Below are 21,993 nucleotides of genomic sequence, written 5' to 3' on the forward strand. Positions count from 1 at the left end.
TACATAATTTGTTCAAAGTCAAAACATTAGTTAAGGAGTCACAAGGCTACGTCAATAGCAAATAGTAGTATTATAGTAATAAATGTCAAGAAAACAGAATTTGGGCTTGGAATCACACAAGATGAGGGGAGGCAGAAAGATTTATAATTATTTTTTAATTTATGCTAATAATAATTTCCAATTGCACTGGAAGTCTAAATGTCAACAGCATAAAGCATCACTTACTCATTTTAAATGTACGCTATATTCAAAGATTTTTAATTTTGTTTCCAATAAATAATTTTAAAATATTGGTATTATTTTGTTCAAGGCATAACTTTTTCTGCCATCATCTTAATGCTAATTTATTAAAATTAGAAATTTCCCTTGTTAAAATGGAAATGTCACGGGGTGGATGGTTGTGAGGGTAATGGTATGGTCTTTAAATGTTTATGATTGCAACTTACAAACGAATACTAGAAAGGGACCTGTGGCCATTTGTATTAAAAAAGGTAGGTGTGACAAAATGCTTTTTAATAATTTTAAAATCATGATTGTTAGGCATACTTATAAAACAGCATTTGTGCATATTCCCTATTTAAAACACACATAATAGTTAACACTTTAAATCTAAGTAAAATAATTTTAATAGATAATGCATTGTGAGAGTCTCCAAATTCTCAAAAGGCACATTTTCTTTTTAGAATCAAAGATACAGGACAATTATTTGTAATTAAGGCAAAGTTTAGATACTGCACTGGCACAATTTTAATTATTCTAATTTAGGATTAGCATATTACATGCAAAAAGACCTTTTGGTAATCTGGTCCTTTGATTAGAACAGTATTTACTTTTAAATTCTAAAATGGCCCAAATATCAGGTAGTATTGATTTTAACAGAGTCCTCCCAATTTCCACAGAGATCAAAAACAAAAATACACACCACACACAGACACATCACTTTTTAATTAAACTATTACTCAAAAACAACACATCAACCTTCATCAGTCCACTTCACGGCAAATGACTAACACCTGTGGAAACCGGTGTGGGAAGGAGCCCTCATTCTTTTCAGCTCGCTCTACTACTCACTGACCAGTGGGATGGGGTCAAGGAAGTGGGAAGCGTATTATGAAAGGATGGAAGTATATCTGAAAGGAGTGTTTATAATGCTGGTAGATGCTGAGGGAAGAAGGAGGGCAAGGAGGAGAGAGGCAGGACAGGAGGGAAGGAGGGAGTAAAGGGTAAGATTCTCAGAGTAAGAGAAGGAGTTAGGTGGGACAGAAACTGAGTTGCTAATCCCCTTAGCATTCAAGGCTTAGAAATATTTTTAATGTATTCAATACTGTATTAGAATGAAAGAATGAATTGTTATTATTATTCCCCACAAACAATCTTCCTATATTTGGGCCAATAAAATACTTAAAGCAGTCAAAATACAGCAAACATCACCAGAATGTAATACTTAGCACACACCAAAGTCATCTGATTAATGTATATGCAATGTTCCCTTGACAAGAATGTCCTCTGCACGTAATTTCATGAAGGGCAAATGAATTCTCACATTAGTGTTTCAAAAGCATCATAGTTTCAATTATTGTTTTTAAAGCCTAAACAAACAAAAATGCCATGAGCCCTGCTTTCCATATGATTCATAATTTTTGCTTTTGCTATTCATCAAATACTATTGTGAGAAAGTGAATAAACTGTGTTACTGTCACAATCAAGCCTGAAAACAAACTCACCAAATGTTCTGTGCTTTATTTCATTCATGCCATTGTTACATAATGCAACTTTATCAGTATGACCTACCAAAATAATAGGTTTAAAATACATATTTGATTAAAGAAACCCATATGAAAATGTATGCCATAAATTATATTTACTTGCATATTTTCCTCTTTCCTTAGTCCTCTCCTCCTGCCCCATGTTTCCAACCTCTGACATTAAAAGGGGCAAAGTACCTTCCTTGAATCGTGACAACTGGTTCTGAATGGCAACCTAGACAGCTCTTCCATGGAAACTGGTTTGAAATTCTTCATGTGGAAGAAAAAGAATCAGCACTGACTCCTAACGTCACTTTTCTGTCTCCCTCCCTAGCTTCTCTACTCCTCTTTACCTAACACCCAACTACTGTTCTTCCTTTCCTTATGTCTGTCTTTTGGCTATTTTTTGTTGAAGCTACAGAGTTAATGATTCCAACGTATCTCAGTTTACGTAATGTCTTGGAGAACAGAAGTGCACTCTGAACTTTTTTCTCCTGAACCAACGTACTGAAGCTCCAAATCCAAAAAAGAAATTCTGACTAACTGTTCTTGGTTGGCCTGAGACTTTCCCAGTAATTAGCACTGAAAGTTCCACATCTTCACAAACCCCTCAGACTCCCCAGCTGGGAACTGGGAGGGTTGGTCAGCCTGGTGTGGACCTACTTTTGCACCCAACTGTCACTTCCTTACTCTTGCCTGTGATAGCCCACAAACACAAAGTTCTGTTAAAAGCAAAATCTATCTTTTTGTCTCTCTTTCTCTGAAAGAAGGCAGAATTAATAGACCTCATAGGAAATTTACTTTCCTATTGATAATTAAGTTGGAATGAGTCACTTTTCTTTAGCAACTTAAGCTGAGTAGAAATTCTAAAGAATTAAAGAATGCTATTGAGAGATAAGATCCTGATTCATACAAGATGCTGCTTCAGAGGGGAAATTATGCAAGTAAGCGCAACAAAGCCATTAAAATTGAACTGTTCTTAAATATTTAACCTACTCTAAATTACACATTTTTCCTCTAAATTTGGTTATTTGGGAACTCTGCAGTGAAAACTAAGCACAGCTGGAACATTTGGAGGGTGTTAAGTTGAGAGACTGAATCCAAAAAATTATATTAAAAAGAAGTGCCATGAGGGAACGAATGTGGGTTACCTCTGACAGCTCGCCAAGTAATTGCTATTAGGAAAATGGAGCAAATCACATCAAATGAGAAAATTAATACAGGAAATGGAATTAAAATAATATCAATTATAATTCACATCAAATATCAGAAAGAGTAAATTAGCCTGACAGTAAAATTACATGCCCACAATCAACCAGTGAAGGAGCCTGTAAATCTATAATTAATTCCCATCACTATCTAGCCATGGAAAACTAATCATATAGATTCTACTATAGTAGAAACCGTGTAAAGTACTTCAACAGTAACTATTTGTATATTCAAGTAAAATACTAAGATATAGGTTTATTTTATTCCTATTGCTCATAAAGAATACAATTAGAATGCATTACATGTAAGAGTTATTCTTGTTTAATTAGCTGATTTTACAGAAGGTAATACTGCATGCATTATCGTGTGATTGTAATGAGCTTTAGTTTCAAACTTTCTAAGCAGCCTGAACATAGAACATTTAATAAAATTATGTACATGTGCATGTCAGACAGTAATTATCAATACTTTATATATGTATAAAAACACATATATATATTTATAGTGGGTATTATTCAAATTATCATTAAGAAGTCTCTGGGAAAATGTCAATACATGTGACAGAATAAAAAGTAAACATCTTTGTCTAAAAACCATGCCTATAATTAATGAGCAGAGTCTTCTGATATTAATTTTTAAAAAACACTTTTGAAGAACTGAATATTATCAGGAGGTTGGCCTGGCTGGAAGAATATAAGCCATCTTTGGTAAAATCGTCACTCTATCCAGCAGTAGCTAAATGTCTGTACTGAGCTTAAAAAACAGAGCACTAATAACATAGGCTGAAATTAGTAGTGTTAGCGGTTTAGTAGTCACCTGTACAAAACATTTCCACTTTTATTTTAGGGTGATTTAAACATGTATATAATGAATGAGAAGATTTTATACCTAGACTGGATTGTAGAGATCACATAACTGACTCCTTCTATTTCATGACCAAGCAAATTGGAACACAGAAAAATAAAATGCTCTCTTTAAGGACTAGAACCCTCACCTACCAATACCTAGATTGGGGCTTTTCACACAGTATCATATTACAGTATCTCTTGCTAGACAATAAAGAATATGGGAAACGTTTTGTTGAATTCACGTGACCACAGAGACTGGACATTCATAATTACTTGCATCTTGGTAGAGTAAGAATACCTATAACAATAATAAACGCATAGATAATAATTAAGAATATATGAAAGACTTCTTTAGTCAGTCCATTGGATATATAATAAATAACATCACGGGAGGAGGTGGTTTCTGCTCTTGGCATATACCTTGCAAATTTAAATGGGCAAAAGGGTAATTCTAGCAGACGAGCAGTCACAGGGCTAGAGGTCAGAGAATCAAGTCAAAATAAAGATCAGGAAACTTTATGTGGCAAGTAGCTTCCAGGTGGGGAGAAAGAACCCTGGATGTCCATCTGCTGCCCAGCTAAAATACTACAAAGCCTTGGAATGCTCTACAACATTTTTATCAAGACATGTTATCTCTCCATAATCTCTCCTCAGCATTTACTTCCTTTTCTCTGTGGTTTATTCAATCTTTTGTGTCAATATCTTTTGTAAATTTTTATTACTTTCTCTTTTATGTTTAAAACTTTGCTGAAGCCATGGGGGAAATACATTAGGTGGGAATGGTTGTCTTTACAGAGCTGTTAAAAATCACTTCAAATGTGAGGATATTAAATAGCCTAGACTCTCAGGGACACCAGGTGGCAATTCAACACCTATTCACTGCCTGGTATGAGCATCCCTGTCATCAGAACAGAATCTCTGATAAAAAGTGTGTGAACAATAGGCAAGAGCTGCACTTGTGCCCTTCACCCAGAAACTGCCATTATTTATATATATGTCTTTATAGGAAATGTAAGGGTATAAAAATAAGAGTCATGACTGTCCCTTTTTTTAAGTATTTGGTGACTCACAGATGTTGCATGGAAATAGTTTACATCTAATTCCCTTATTTCCACCACTTACAAAAATGTCCTATTCTAAGTAAATCATATAATTTGGGTTATTTTCCTAAATTATAAAATAATGAACAATACCATGAAATCCAGTGAATGGATACATAAAGCAAAAATCAAATTCCAAGGATTGTGACTGATCAGATCAACTTTTATCACAGTATAATGCAAAGTAAAGCTATTCTGAGAAAATATCACTTTAAACATTAATACAGAGAAAAACTATGGGTTTATACAAAAAGAGATGACAATCTTTGTTTTTTCTTCTTTTTCTTCTTGTTTTGAGACGGAGTCTCGCTCTGTCGCCAGGCTGGAGTGCAGTGGCACAATCTCGGCTCACCGCATCCCCTGCCTCCTGGGTTCAAGCGATTCTCCTGCCTCAGTCTCCTGAGTAGCTGGGATTACAGGTGTGTGCCATCATGCCTGGGTAATTTTTGTACTTTTAGTAGAGACAGGGTTTTGCCATGTTGGCCAGGCTGGTCTCAAACTCCTCACCTCAAGTGATCTGCCTGCCTCGGCCTCCCAAAGTTCTGGGATTACAGGCGTGAGCCATTGTGCCCACCCGAAATGAGAACCTTTTATAATCACTATTCTCTAGAACAGCAGAATGCAACACAGCACAGGCTCTGGATCCAGAGTGCTGGGGCCCAATCCTGGCTTCATACAGCTGTATAAATCTGGGCAAATTATTTCTCCTACACCTTAGTTTCCTACAAAAAAATGTGCCTCCTTCACAAGGTTGTTGTGGGAATCAAATGAATTTGGATTTGCGAAGTGCTCAAACAATGCCTGGCACAGCATGAGCACTGGCCACGGGCATATCTTCTCTAGAGAGGAGTATCTGTGAATGTTGTTTTCTGTGAATGTGAAGCAAATTTAAGTAATGAATCATTGCTTCCTTTTGGCAGCATGGTGCAGGAATCTAAAATATTTTTGTTAAAGTTTCTTTATATTTCTTCAAAGTTTTGATATCACTGGATGAAAGAGACAGATGGAAGAGAAAACAAATGTGTGGGCCATATCTGAGGAGGAGAAAGAGGGTCACGCTGCTCTTGATACAGCAAGCATGCAGGAAGGAGCAAAGCCATGGCAGATGACCTGTGGACTCATGCAGGCTTTCGGGAAGGATCTGCTCGGCGCTAGGCTTTCTATTGTTCTTTTTACCAAGTGTGTGAGATGCCAGTACTCAATATGTATTTGTGGAATGAGTGAATAAAAAGATGAGTAAGACATAAAATTGTAATCCAGTTGAGTTTTATAAGGTTAGGGTATTAGGATCAGTGGAATCTACATAAATATGGTGGTATCTTAATTATCATTCTGAAATAAGTTGCAGGATTCTTCCTTAGATATTTTAGATATGGGTATCTGGTGTTGTAGAGATATAAAACAGTAGATATGGGTATCTACTGTTGTAGAGATATGAAACAGTAGATATGGGTATCTACTGTTGTAGAGATAGAAAAATGACTGGCACATATTTCCAAGGATGTTTTCTTTTCCATTTTACTCTATTCTTTTTTTAAAGAATATATTATAAATGTTTTGAGAATAGGAATCCTTTTAGAGTAGGATTTATGCCAGATAGCAGATAGCAAAGCAGACTGTGAAGCTTGCTTATTAAAATTTTACAAGGTCTTAGTGGTTTTGTTGAGCTCAGCCCAAAATTTTCAGGAGGTGTTAAAAAGCAGATTGTTTTTAATACATTTTCAAAGTAGGGCCCTCAACCTGAACAGCATACGCTTCTGCATACACACAGAAAGCTTCTGTACACATTTCTACACACACCACTACATTTGTAGTTGCAACCCGAATTTTTAAGAAGAGAGTAGGATAGTGTTGAAAAGTTTAAAACGAAATAGCCAAATAGGCAATCCCTATAAGAACCACAAGTTTCTATTTACATAAAGTAGCAAAACAAACTCCTGAAACTTGTGAACTCTTAAAAACATTTCTTGGGTTGTGCCAAAGTTGACAAAAATAAAAGATGAGGTTCTGTTTAAGAAAGGAGGAATAGGTTTGACATTCTCTGAAAATACTTTCCCTGCGTATGATATATATTAATAGTTTTGGTTCAGTTTTAGACAGAAGCAACCTTTTAAACAGAAAAGTCAACTTATGGCTCAAGCCAAGAATCAGAATTAAAGAAAAAGACAAGACTGAACAGTAAACAGCAAAAGGTAAGAGATATTAAACTTTTCAGGAATATCAGGTAGGAGAAAATTCCTATTATAGAATTCATACTATTTGCATGTTTTTTATTTTATCGCAGTTTGCTTATTCCTAGCAACCACACACACAAATAAAACAAATTTGGATAATTGTTTTCAAAACTTAAAATATAAACTCTTGCCTTTTGCTCACATATGGGGATCAGGGATATCCTTTATGAATAGTGCTTCTCATAGCTTACCATGACCTGCATATTAAAATTAGTTGATATAGCCCAAAGGTATGTACTCTACCATTATTTTAAGTATAGGTTTCAAGCATATACTACCTCTATGGGAAAGAAAATGAAGAACTGGTATTCATGAACCAGACAGAAGCATATATTATATTAGGTAAACAGATATTAAACTCAGAAAAGTAGGAACTAAGAAAAGAAAAAGGTATAAAAACTAAGAAAATTCACTTCAAAAACCCATGGGAAATGGAGGAGACCATACCTTGAATAACTCAAACTCCTTCTTTGGCATCAACAGCTAATGACAAATGATGAACATAAAATAAGTACATAATATATATATGCACATGAGGCCAGCCAAAACATAACACAGCAAATAATTTCCATTGCCATCACTTTAAGTTACCGAGATAGAGAAACTATACACAAATTCTTTATTTTGAATGTTTGCTTGATTCATGGATTCTAGTAAGGCCAAGTCCCTCTGGATAAGCACAGGACTGACACCAGGCATGAATGTCATGAGGAGCCAAAAGTACTGAAATAAATTGTCACGGCAGCAGAAGTATGACCACAATTCCAGCTTTGGACAATCTGTATTTTTTTAAGCCTAGATCTGGCATAAAAATTAACTATTTCACTGCATATTCTACGCAGCTTCTACTCAAATTCATGACATTATTATGAGGTCAGATGTGATCTTTTTCTCGAGACTTTGAAAATTAAAAGAGTTCTTTCTGGGGGAATGAGAAGCCACCCCAGGTTCACTGGCTGTACCTGAGAGAGTCCATCCATTCTGTCTTTGTTTACAGACCTAACTCTAGAGAGCCTGGCACAGGTCTAAAATTCCGGAGTTTAAGAGCAAGTTAATTCAGATGTTAGGGTGAATGAGCTGACCAGGGTCACTGAAATCCTGAAAATGTGGCATGGGCCATAAGAATGGACCTTCATGGGCCTTCAATGAACAAGAAGAGAGAGCCTGACCTATCTAATCTATATCCTAAGTACCTTTTAATCTTAAAATCAAGAGAGGAAAAATATTGTAATCCAGGTGAACAGGTACTCATGTATTAGTGTAAGGTGAGATGAGTGCAAGTTCAAGGCTGGTCAGTGGCAGAACATTTAAGAGACTGAAAGCAAGGGCTGGTGAAGGTGAACTGCTGGACACCATGCCGTGATATCAGTGCCATCCTCTATCAAGAGGAAGCCCCTGGTGGATAGCAGAGCTGTGGGTAAAAAGACAGAAATACCATTTCTTCAAATGTCAGAAATACTACAGATTGGGGAAAAAAAGCATTCAGAGAATCAGGTACCTACTGCTAAACATCTTGAACAATTTCTAGAAGTAAATCAGAAAACATATGTGTAATTCTTCCCTGTGTCTCTCACCATTGCCACTCCCCCACCAATTACTCTAGAAAAAATATATAACCAACTACATCTCAAAATGATCAATACACAAAGGTGTTTAAATCCTACTTAAGAGTGATAACTTCGTAAATGTGTACATACTACATTTTACTAAGAAATCATGCTCACCTGTATAGTATGAGTATAAGGTGGATCAGCACGCCCCAATCCAGATTCTGGAGGTCTCACAATATCCAAAATGTTATTTGGCACAAATCCAGAGTCTCCACTTGCATTTCGAACTTTCCACCATTGCTTCCGATCATCAAGTATCTGTCATGTACAAGAAAATAAAGGTATAATTTCCATATAAAAGCCATTCTACGAAAGAAGTTCCCTAGACTTCAACAAAGAAAATTTTTCTACTTCTGATAATTAACTCAGCATCAACATAGTGTTGATTGAATGATTCTCAGGAATTACACTAAGAAGACATTTATGAGTATACAGTAGGTAAGGTATCATTATGGTGAATCTACCCAAGGTCCATTTTACCTCCAAAGAACAGCCTGCATTATTTGAAGTACTTAAGGACTAAAGTACTTAAAGGACTTAAGGACTAAAATGACTCTTTTGGAAAGCCCCATTGTCTCCATTTTGGTGATAGAAAGAAAAAGTATATAAAAATTACTTTTTTTCCTTACAAAATTTATTGTGATAATTCACCTTATATATTCAAGAAGATGAACTGTCAATTAGAATCTAACAAAGAGAAGTTGGTGTTGTGGTGGATTATCCCTAACATTATTAGCTCAATGACTGCTGAGTATATCTGTGCAAGGATATAGGATTAAAAAAAGAATGTTGTCTCTTATTGAACTATTATGTGCATCCACATCTGAATTGTTAACTAGTCTTGACTCCAAAATGAATAAATATCAGAAGAAGAAAGAGGGCAAGGAAGAGAGCAAAGGAAGTTAAAAAAAAACCCACCCTGCCACTCCCCACAAAAAACAAATAAAGGAGTATTCTAAAGCTATCCCCTTAGAAGGAGTATCTATATACCCCTACTAAATAGATGTAGATATTTCTAATATACTACGTCTTTAGTAATATAATACTTTTGAAGGAAAGTTTAGTTATATACCAAAAGAGTAATACAATAAAACTACTTTATTAAGAGTATAAAAAAGAAAAAATTATATTACCTCTAAAATATCATCCTTTAGAACCGAGAGCTCACTGTTGTTCCTTGCTACAAAGTCATACTTGGATTTGGCATATTTCTTGGGTTGTGTTTTGAGTGGTTCATAATTTCTATAAAAAGAAAGAAAAAAGATTATTATTCTGCTAGCTCTTCCTAAAGGATAAAAATGGAAAACACTGAGACAAGCCAAATCCTACCAGAAAACTTTCTGAAAAATTACAGCAGTTTCATTTTATTATATTTTACATTATGATAAATAAAAGTTACTTTAAAGTTCTTGCTTTTAAAATGAACAAATTATGGCCAGGGATAAAAACAAATAATGCAAAATCACAAGGCCAGGTGGTACTTAGCCAAATCCAGAATCCAAGTCTATGAATTCTTTGTCTACTAAATACACATACTGGATATTATGTTAATTACCATCTCTACCATAAAAGAACTAGATAAAGATAAATGTTAGTATTTTTCATAAAGTTAAAGGAGACTGAAGATAATTTCCATAGTGGTAATTTTAGTTATATGTTGATTTCACTAATTCAAGCAATGTCTGCAATTCAGTAACCAAATATATAAATTTAAAATTTATAACTAGGCATTAGTTTTTAGAAACACTTTGCCCAGTTATCTAAATTGCAAAAAAAAGAGATATGCATTAAGTATGAGACTAGTAACACTTGCAAATAAGTAAGTAAATAATTTAATTCACTATAAACTTTTAAAAAGTGTATGGGCCTCATTTTTTTAAAATAAAACTTCCTTAAAAAACCAAATACCTCTTCTAATCATTAAATGAGTACTAATAGATTTAACAACTTAACTAAAGATTACTTTTATATGTAACATAATACACTTGATGCATTAAATATTTGTATTTTCTTCATATATTTCAATAATAAAATTACTTTAACCCTTTATTAATTTTACTCCCTAGTCTTCTCCTCCATTTACATTCCCACATTTATTTACACATCTCTACAAGGGAAATAGCAGGTAGAGACTAAAGATGTTAGGTCATCCTACCCCTGTAAAGTTGCCATTCTTTTTGCTGTCTACCAAGTTCTCTGGAATGTTATACCAGGGCCTGCAGGACAGTTGTAGACATAATGTATCCTGTCATAGGTTTTTGTTACCTCTTAGGTAGTAACTCCATTGGAGGAGGGAGACAGGGACAAAGCAAAAAGATGACCAGTATAGAACACCTTACAGATAAGCATGTAAGAACAGCTTATTGGCTATTTTTAGCACATTAAAAAGAAAATTGGTGGAAAAGGTGAAATTATGGTGAAGTAATTATGTTATTAATAATAATAATTTTAAAACTGTGTTCCATGGATTTCCCATCCCTATCCCTACTGGAATAGCTCTGCTTTCATTTACTTTATATATTCACATTTAATCTACTAAGATTTCATTTGGCAGATAAAAGAGATTCAACTACCCCAAACATTAGGAAAACAGTAATTTTAGTGTTTTATCTTCCTCTCTTCCCCTATTTTCCTTTCTCCTATGATCTGCAAGATAATCACTATTAATAATGGAGAGTTAAGGGTCTATAACAAATTTTTTGTTATCTTGCAGGTCTCAGAAGTGTTTACCTGAAGTGCTTCAGAATTTACAAATCTTTATGGCTCACAGTTTTTTGCCCTCTATATGTTAAGCATGGATATGACACTGACCATAGTTATCAAACAGACAATCACAATTTGTAATTTTTCAGAGATGCCAGACTTTCTTGGCCAGGCGTGGTGGTTCATGCCCGTAATCCTAGCACTTTGGGAGGCCGAGGAGGGCGGATCACCTGAGGTCAGGAGTTTGAGACCAGCCTGTCCAATATCGTGAAACCCCATCTCTACTAAAAATACAAAATTAGCTGGGCACGGTGGCACATGCCTGTAATCCCAGCTACTCAGGAGGCTGAGGTGGCAGAATCGCTTGAAACAGGGAGGCAGAGGGTGCAGTAGGCCGATATCGTGCCATTGCACTCCAGCCTGGGCGACAAGAGCAAAACTCTGTCTCGAAAAAAAAAAAAAAAAAAAAAAGAGGTACCAAAGTTTCTTAACAGCTATGGAATGTAACAAAACGTATGGGCTCAGTTTCTGATTAGGAATAATAGATACGCCACTTGATAGAGAGCAGACATAGAGACAGCAGTAATTTGAGAACTTCTCTAAAATACTAATTGCATCTGACAGCAGTAAGCTATAAAACTCGAAGGCGTGGGCTCTAAATTCAACAAATGTTCTACCTAATGGCATAGCAATTTCACAGAACAGTGAATATACTTCGTATGGCATTGTTAAGCTAAATATGTTCTGAGAAACCCTCTATACTTCCATACTTGAGTCCTGTGGACGAATCATAACCTAATTTAGTAGGTAGACACATTGAAAACCCAATTTAGGAGTATGCTTCTGTAACAATAGCTGAGTCTCAGCCAATCCCAGCAGCCATACTTCAAGCACTCACAGGCTGCTGACTGTTCAAATTGTGTGCAAATGCCAAGCTGTAACCAATCCAGCTGTTTCTATACCTCACGTCCGTTTTCTGTACGTCACTTTCCTTTTTTTGTCTATAAATTTGCTCTGACCATGAGGCATCTCTGGAGTCTCTCTGAATCTGCTGTGATTCTGGGGGCTGCCCAATTCATGTGCCACTTTTTTTTCCCCTTGTTCAATTAAACTGTTAAATTTGCCAGGCGTGGTGGCTCACGCCTGTAATCCCAGCACTTTGGGAGGCCGAAGCGGGCAGATCACGAGGTCAGGAGATCGAGACCATCCTGGCTAACACGGTGAAACCCCATCTCTACTAAAAAAACATACAAAAAATTAGCCGGGCATGGTGGCGGGCACCTGTAGTCCCAGCTACTCAGGAGGTTGAGGCAGGAGAATGGCGTGAACCCGGGAGGCCGAGCTTGCAGTGAGCCAAGATCGCGCCACTGCACTCCAGCCTGGGCGACAGAGCAAGACTCTGTCTCAAAAAAAAAAAAAAAAACTGTTAAATTTAATTTGTGTGAAGTTTTTCTTTTAACAGTATCTACTGCATTCCTGGTATGTAATAGAGTTTAAGGTCAACAATAATTATTTATAAAAACAAATTCCAAACCTCTGTGTATTTTATATCAGACCACAATTTTCAGACAGTTTTTCAAAATGATGACAAATGTTCTTAGCAACATAGAACATCAATGATTCATGTATTTATCAACTATCCTAGCTCCTATTAAGTCCAGCTGAGACAGAATCCATAAGAACAACTGAGATATAAAATCTACCCACCACTCAAGGTATTCAAAAAAATTCTTTCTATGGTGAAATTCTGACCACTCTAGACTATTATCCCTTCATGGAATTTCTATTTTTATATTTTATTTAAATTTCTATTTATCAAAGGTTACAAAAAGAAACCTTATAAAATTCACCACAGCCTTCTCTGTGGTGAGGAAAAAAAATTGTTAAAAATAAATGTCCCTGACATCACCTATCCCATCCTACATTAAGTTTCATGAAACAAATATTATTGAGAATTTAGGAGTAAGAAAAGCATTTTTTATCCCGATGAACTGATACTTATTCCTTTTCCTAATGTCAGCCAATGATTATGTTTCTCTTTTTGTTCTGACAGCCAAAAATCTGAAAGACAAATCTGAAATTCAATAATAGTGTCAACTTTTATATTTTATAAAAATTCTCATCTTCCCTCTTAACTTCTTAATTTTATATTTTATTTCATTATTTAACTTTCAATAATAATACCACTTTAACTACATATAATTTAAGTGAGCTAACTGAATCTATTTTGGAAGCAGAAGGGGTACAAAGATATAACTAAATCAATAAATGAAAGGTATACTGCCCTGATATTCTATAAAGATCATAAAAATCAAGGTAAGCTTTTAAAAGACTCTGTGGTAAGGTGCCCAAAATAAATGGCAGAGGTTATTCCATCAGTAATACTATCCCTTATAGATATGCAGGTGAAGGACAGGGAAGTAGTGACTCTGAAATACTAGATATACTCTCATGCACTTATTCATCCAATCCATCAATCAAATAAATCTACACTTACTGAGTGACCACAGTATGCTAAATGTGGTCTTCAAATGGAACCTGATAAAAGTTTTCTAGTGTCAATATGTACTCTACATATGTACTCAAGTGGTTTTCTAGCTACTTAGCTGTGGAAAATCATCTGAATTACTGGAGTGATAAAACAAAAAGAAACCTATTAATCTGAAATGATTTCTAAAATATTGACATCTAAGACAGACAGAAAGAAAAAAGAAAATATTAAGATGAATACTTAGTTAAGGATTTCAATGAAATAATGTTTAAGCTTCAAAACTGATTTTCAACTGTATCTACTGAAAATTAATTATGTAATTAAAACATTCTCATATGTTGGCATTTAAAAAATATATTATTCATTGCTGACTTTTCTTTGTACTCAATTTAATGTCACTGGTGCCCTTGGAGTTATACCTGTGTAATTTCTACAGCAATTACTTAAGCATTACCTGTCACCACCCCTGACAAAGAATAAAAATTTTAAATCCCACTTTCTTCAGATTATATTAAGAAAAGAGTATACAGAAAAGAAGTAAAGGGCATATAACTCTTGTGGTAAGAGAGGCTTTTGAGGCAGGAAAGTACTAGGCCGAGTTCTCTATTCCCAGTTCACTGAATGACCCTTCTCCTATAACCGTGTTACCAAGATTTTACCTCCTTTTCTCTTTTCTACATGGCTTGGCTCTATGTAGATCTCATTTACTAAAAACAAGATTGGAAATTAAAAAAAAAGAACTTATTCCAGTTCCTTTATTTCTTCTCATCCCAATTCTCCATCTCTGCCTATATTAAATTTTTTAAGAGTGAAGATATAGAAAAATAAATGAAATGTAAAACTGGAAAGTCAAGATAAAAAGATGAAATGGCAAGAATGACTAATAAAGCATTGACCCTGTTTAAATATTTAGTTTATATTCAGTTTAAATATATCTGTCTAAAGGAAGGTTTATTTGTTTTCATTGGGTGAAGATAAAGATGGAAACTGTTTTCTTTAAAAGCTACAGAACTGGAAGGATCCTCAGAGACCATCTGGTACAAACTAATGGAGGGTTTCAAGACAATTCTTTCTTCTTAATGTACACATTTTGTCCGAAGTATCTTTTAAAAAATGGAAAGTCATCCAAAGGCATTTGCACTAAATGGGAATTACAGACTGAAGGTCCAGACATCTTTTGTTGATCAAAACCAGTTCTCTAAAGGAACAACTGAAACTTTATCAACTAATTAACAGATGGAAAGTTTAAAGAAGCAGTAGACAATACAGACACTGTCACCTCTGTTAGCACTAGATCAGAGACATTTATCCACAGCTCTCCAAAGGGTGCCCATTAAATGTTACCTATCTATATGGCGATTAGAAGTTGGCTTAAAAGCAACAGCAGCTTCCCCTTGGTCCAGGTGGGATCCTCTTGTGTAAATGTTGCTACTGAACGCATAGCCATCGGCTGGATGATACTCTGATACACTGGAATGCTGAAAGACAAAGTGGGGCAGATTAAAGAATCACCAAATACTATTTGAATCAGCACTCAGGTCAGTCAACAAGATCTCTCAACTATATTGTGATAAGTTTTCATTTTCAAGTGACTGACCATTATGTTAACACATTATCAAATGGGAGTGACACATTTTTGTCAAATACTTACTTATAATAAGAAAAGTCATTAGTGCAAAGGGTAATCTTGCTCTCTCTGTTCAAGAAACTTTCACCACTCTAGCAAAGTAAATATTGTCACATGAAAATCAACTGAACCCTATGCATTAAAATTATACCGGCTTCTCATTTTTCTCAATTTCAAAATTATACACAGAACATTATAGTATTTTCAATATTTTTAAAATAGCAGCACTATTATCATATTTACTGTTAAGGGAAACACAGAAAGGCACAACTAAACTGATCTTGACAGTCAAGAGTCCAGGATAAGAGAATGCTAGAGTCACTTCTCTTTTGCAGTTAAGATAATTCAGACAGGAGACTACTGGGAGCTACCAAGAGTGACAGTTGAGGTTCATAGGTCCCACTGAGGACCACAGTTTTAAAGCTATAGAGCAGCAATCCCCAACCTTTTTGGCAGCAGGACTGGTTTCATGGAAGGCAATTTTTCCATGGACCCCAGGGCCGGGGATGATGGGGATGGTTTTGGGATGAAACTGTTCCTCCTCAGATCATCAGGCATTAGATTCTCATAAGAAGCGTGCAACCTAGATCCCTTGCATGTGCAGTTCACAAGAGCATTCTTCCTCCTAATAGAATCTAAAGGCGCAGCTCATCTGACAGGAGATGGAGCTCAGGCAGTAATGCTCGCAGGCCTGCTGCTCACCTCCTGCAGTGAGGCACAGTTTCCAACAGGCCACGCACTAGTACTGGTCCACGACCCAGGAACTGGGGACCCCTGCTATAGAGAATACATGCTCAGATTGGGAGAAAACAAATAAAAACTCCCCAAAGCCTTTACTTTGTTTCTTTATATGAAAATGAGGTATGGAGAAAGCATGATAGACACTGAAGCACTGGAATTCCTTGGCTGTTTTCATTATGGATTTTGTATATTTGTTTATGGATTCATTGGGGCAAAATATTGAAACTGGGAATGTTTCAGAAAATTCTTGGACATATGGTTACCACAGTTAATTCTAATGACAAAGTGATCAGGAGGAGGGCTGAGTTTATCCATGGACAAAGCAGGTGACATTATCAGGATACTGTAATTAATACATAAATAAAAATAAACAAGTTTCAGCCATTTAAATTAAAAAAATCTGAGCTCAATTAATTCAGTTTATCATTTCCCTGGGAAAGAGTAGAGGCACTACATTAGATTAGGTAATCTTTAATTAAAGGCTGTTCTAAAGAGGGGAGTGCTCTAACTGTTGGAAGCACCCACACCTTTTGCCCAGCTCTGAACATAACAGTGAAGTCAGCAGTAGGAAATCACTGGGTCCTGAGAGCAACTGCGAATACTGAAAGGGAGAAGAGAAATGATGACAAATGACTAACTGTGATGACTACCAAAGTTTGCTTAGGGTTCAGAGGAAGTAAGGAAGCTGAGTACTGCCACCCATATTTGTCACTCCAAGTCACCTATGTCTTTCAATCCTAAACAAAAATCATCAGATCCTGAATTACCCAAGTCTTGTTGTAAATGCATTTATTATAGTAGCAATAAAGTATAATAAAGTATCTCTTTTAGGGATGATTACGTTTTTTTGCTTTTTAAGTCACAATTACTTGGCCTCTTTTCCAACAAAATCTCAAGGCATAAAATTCCCTGGAACTGCTAGAATGTGTTTTTCATTTTTTTAAACCTCTGAATAACTACTTCAGCCATAAAATGAAATATAGTTTATAACAGGAAAATAATAACTCATTACAAGTAAGGATTCTCAATAATTCCTCTTTTAAAATTAATTATTCAGTGAAAGTAGACAAACTTATATCCTGGGAGCCCAGAACACATTACTCTCTTCTTAAATACACAAATTGAGAACGAAATCACAAAAGTGAATTTCTGAGGCATACATTATAAAGTGAGTATATTTTCTTATTTAAGGTATGAAGGCTATAAGCTAGAAATTTTTATGATGTAAAAATAGTCAGCTGTAACTATAGCAACAGCAAGTGTATCATAATTTCATGTTTGATTATATTTTCTTTCCTCTAGAAAAACTACCCTTTAAATGGAAAGAAAATTCACAGTGATGAGGCCTGAACTATGAAATACAGGCAGGGGTATATGCTTGCCAACCGAGCAGTGAGGTCATCTTAATTATTCATTTAGAGGGAAAGACAGGCATGGAATCCACCTCTTCCCTTATAATACAGCCAGAGGGAAAAAAAAATTGCATTAGGAAAAAATAATTTCAAAGTAATATGTTTGCTTTATTTTTAAAGTTTCAGGAATTCAACCAAACTTCTATAATATTATTTTTATTGTCCAAAGAATAGTCCACAAAGGGAACAATTTTTAAAATTTAATTTAGATAAACATTTCCCCTTAAAAGCAGTCACAGGATATAATACACCATGGTTTGACAATTCATTCCCTCATAACATATTTGCCACATTATAAATACCTATGATAGTCTGAGAAAATTAATCTAAGGAATTAAATAAAAATAATAGGATTTCGGGAAGATCTAGTCATCATTTACTGTTTCTTCTTCAAACTAGATCTCATTCACCTAACTCTTCGGGTTCTGATCATCCTATTTGTGTTTGGTCCAGCTTTAATCAATGTTCAATGTTCTTTTCCAACAAACAAGAAGAGTCATAGAAACATCACTTTTAGGGAATGTGACAAAACAGCATACTCAATTTCATTCCCTCAACTTGATTCCCAAATAGGTTATACTCTAAATATTATTAAATACTTAAAAGATAAAATGAATGTTAAGATCTCCTCAAGGTGTAGTTTTATAAATGATCATTTGAGCCTAAGGACTAGAGTGCAGAAGAACTTGGGCCCTCTAGCAAGGCTGATAGGACTCCAGAGTTTTAGAACTAGGCAAAAGGGAAGAAAGAAAACAAACAGAGGAGAAGAGAGGCAAAGCAACGTGAAGAGAAGGAGAGAAATTAATTAACTGGGGGAATTCAGGAAACAGCTGCTTAAGACAGGTTAGAGGATCTAGGTTCAGGGAACTGTCTTGAGGGCCTGATAATGGGAGAGGAAAACATAAAGAAATAAGCCAAAGGGCAGTAGTGCAATTCCCTGACAAGGAGAGAAAGTCATCCTAAAAAAGCTGACTTAGGATCGCCAGAGCCAGGAAAACAGTGGCAACAAGGGGAGGGGTGGGGGCTGACAGGCTATAGGAGAGCAATTTGGGTTGGGGTTGGGCTTCACGGAGGAACAGAGCAACTGTCACAAAAAATGACAGAGGCAAGAGAGAGAGGTAATTCAGGACAGGGTAACATTCAGACTTTGATTCTAGAACAATTTTCAGTTGAATAAAATGAGAACTTGCAATCAGAATTACAAGAGAATACACAGATAATTACACTGTCTACAGAGGGCAATGTTAAAAAAAAAACTACCTCTGTGGATAATCTTTTTATTTCCTGTTTGCGCTGATGTTCTGCTACATTTGCCACAGATTCTGCCAGTTGATAAAGATCTTGTTCCATTGTGGCTCCCATAAAGTTCAGCATTGGGGGCTCCCAGCCATTGCGGAATCGTGGAACATATGGTGGAATAAACTGTTCTTTTGGCCACTCTGCTCTGCAGGAGGGAATGAAGGCATATAAACAATAAAATCTAGGAATGTATCCATGCTCACAGTTATCTTCAGTAAGGCTAGACATACACACGCACACACACATAAATAACAAACAACAAAAACAGCACATAGACCTAATCTGTCTTCCATCCACCCAAAAAGAAAAAGCAAACATGTTTATGCCAGTATTTCACACCTTAATAAAATGAAAGAAAGATTGAATTCTGTTGCATGATCTGTTTTCCCAACATTGCCTCATTTCTCCATTAAACTCAACTTTGTAACATGGATATAGGTTTTTAAAAATTTGTGTAAGAAGGGATTATGGAGCTAGGAGTGTGATAAGTATTTAGAGCACAAACTTCTCTAACATTTAAAGTAGTTTCAGATTCTCAACTTTCCCTTCACTCCCCTCCCATCATTATTGAAACCTCCTGGTATTAGATATATCTTTCAAAAGAGAAACAGCCCAGCAAGTTAAGATTACGATTTTTAAATTTATGAAGTCCCCTAAACTGAAACAGATGGCCAGTTTTATAAATTAAATGTATCAGCTCTGTTTTAATCAGTAAACTAATCTGTAATCACAATCATATGGGTTCATCATTTAATGACACTGAGTGAAACTTATTTCTGTAAGATCCTAATCATTCATGAACCACAAAAATAACTAGGACAAAAACGAGGGCTTCATTTTTGCTAGAATATGTTGCTTCATCTTTCATATTTAATTCTTCATGTTATAGTTCTACTATGATGAAATCAGCCATTTTATTCAGATTGTTATAGACTTTCATGGTTCTTTTTACCTTTATGAGTTTTTAAATCAGTCAGTACATTCATTTCCTAATACTCTTAACAATCAGGATCTAAAATGACCCTTTCCGTGTGTTAACAGCTAACAATATATTTCGTTTTGATGTAGTTTTTTGAATGTTAATTAATTTTCTTATTTTAAGATAGAACCCTAAACAAAGAAATTAAAGAGCCTGAGCTATATTTGTAATGTGAGACCTGATCAATTTAATAAACTTCATGAAATTAAAGGATGCCACCGAGGCTTATCATAAAATCATAACCTATATAAATCTAATAGATTTAAGTGATCTACAATGGAATATTATTCAGCCATAAAAATGAAAGAAATCTTGTCATTTGCAGCAACATGGATGGAACTGGAGGTTATTCCATTAAGCGAAATAAGCTCACTCATATGTGGAAGCTAAAAAACTGGATTTCATGAAGGTAGAGAGTAGACTGGTGTTTACTAGTGGCTGACAAGGATGAGGCAGGGTTGCAGGGGGATGGAGAGAAGTTGATTAATGGATACAAACGTACATTGACTAGAAGAACTAAGACCCAGTGTTAGATAGATCAGTAAAGTGACTATAGTTAACACTAATCTATTGTACATTTCAAAATAGCTAGAAGAGAAAAATTCAAATGTTCCTAGCATAAATATTTAAGATATTTAAGGTGATGGATATCCTAATTACCCTGATTTCACCTTTGTACATTATACGAATGTATCAAACTATCATATGTACCCTGAAAATATGTACAACTATTAATAATGTATCAATTAAAATTATAAAAATAAAAAGATCTATTTAACCAGTTTTTATACAGTATAACAAGAACACTATTATACAGCATACACTATGCTATACTAGTACATAAATAATATAAATAAATGTAAATATTTTCAATTTAAAAGCAACAACTGCAATGCTTTCAAAGAATTTTCTGCTTAACTATATTCCAACACAAGCCACTGTCAAAGTCCAGAAAATAAGTGGAAAAGTTTGTATATGTTTCAATAGGAGAAAAATGGAGAAAAAAAATTATGAATTGGCCCATGACTCTTAAGCTAGCCCATTCAAAAGCATTAGGAAGACAAATGTCTAAGTGGCCATACTAAGTGATTTATTCTAAGTGGTGAAATAAAGAAAAAGATTTAGATAAATAAGCAAAGCAAAAATGATTTATTTACAATCATGAAATTAGAAATATTTTCTTACCTTGCCTTGCTCAGCAAGCATTAGTACTACAATTGTTAATAATCTGTCTTCCATAATCACTTTATTGACAAATGCACATTTCTTAAAATTACCCACTCTTCCTTTTCAGTTCCACTGTGACTCTCTAGTCCTGAAGAAAATTGATTTATAAGGAGCCTCTCCTACGATATTAGCATCTCAAAAGGCCTCTGCCTCCAGTTACTTTTGTCCTTGTCCTTTCTAGCCTCAACTACCAGACTGACCTTTCTAAAACATAGATGTAATTATGTCACACCTCTATTCACAAAGTTATTGGTTCTCCACAGCCTACAGAACCACACTCTAACTCTTTAGCATGGCACTGAAAGCCTGCATAATCCAGCCCTCATCTCTATATGCTCATCTCTATATGCTCATTTTAATACCATCCGCCTCCCGCCCTTCCACAATGATCTGCTACCCGAAGTCCATATTCCAGAGAAACACATCTTCATCCTTTCTTCTCTTGACTACCTTATGCCTTCACTTCTGCTTCTCTCTCTACCTGGACAGGCCCTTGCCCTACTATGGAACTGTGGAAATCCTACCCAACCTGCTAAAAGGCAGTTTAGCAAACCAATGATGAACACTGACTCCAGAGCTACATGGCACGAGTTCACATCCCTGCTCTGTCACTTACAAGTTGTGTGGCCTTGGGCAAATTACTTATCCTCTCTGTGCCTTACTTTCCTCATCTGCAAAATAGGGATAATAAGAGTAGTTCTGTAAAGTGCATGGACTAGCAAGCACTGTGCGCGCGCGCGCGCATGTGTATGTGTGTGTGAACCCTAT

At 35.5% G+C, this 21,993-nt stretch overlaps 1 protein-coding gene across 21 annotated transcripts in view; it reads right to left on the reverse strand.

Annotated features, from left to right (window-relative positions):
• The window catches only part of EPS8 (EGFR pathway substrate 8, signaling adaptor), a 169,255-nt gene that overhangs the window by 11,709 nt on the left and 135,553 nt on the right, over positions 1 to 21,993 (reverse strand). For 18 of the 21 annotated variants that reach the window (NR_182221.1, NR_182222.1, NM_001413836.1 and 15 more), the window contains 4 exons: positions 18,981 to 19,164; positions 15,285 to 15,418; positions 9,880 to 9,988; positions 8,861 to 9,004 (listed from right to left, as the gene is read on the reverse strand). Coding sequence is in view for 18 of the 21 variants with exons in the window: in NM_001413836.1 (NP_001400765.1) it covers positions 8,861 to 9,004; positions 9,880 to 9,988; positions 15,285 to 15,418; positions 18,981 to 19,164 (571 nt within the window). In the remaining 3 variants the exon portion in view is untranslated. Of the gene's footprint in view, positions 1 to 7,583; positions 7,620 to 8,860; positions 9,005 to 9,879; positions 9,989 to 15,284; positions 15,419 to 17,807; positions 19,165 to 21,993 lie in introns of those variants that run through there. The other 3 variants (NM_001413831.1, NR_182223.1, NM_001413839.1) reach the window with 3 other exon arrangements.

The sequence above is a fragment of the Homo sapiens genome, chromosome 12 (assembly GCF_000001405.40).
Source record: "Homo sapiens chromosome 12, GRCh38.p14 Primary Assembly".
Classification (NCBI taxonomy): Eukaryota; Metazoa; Chordata; class Mammalia; order Primates; family Hominidae; genus Homo; species Homo sapiens.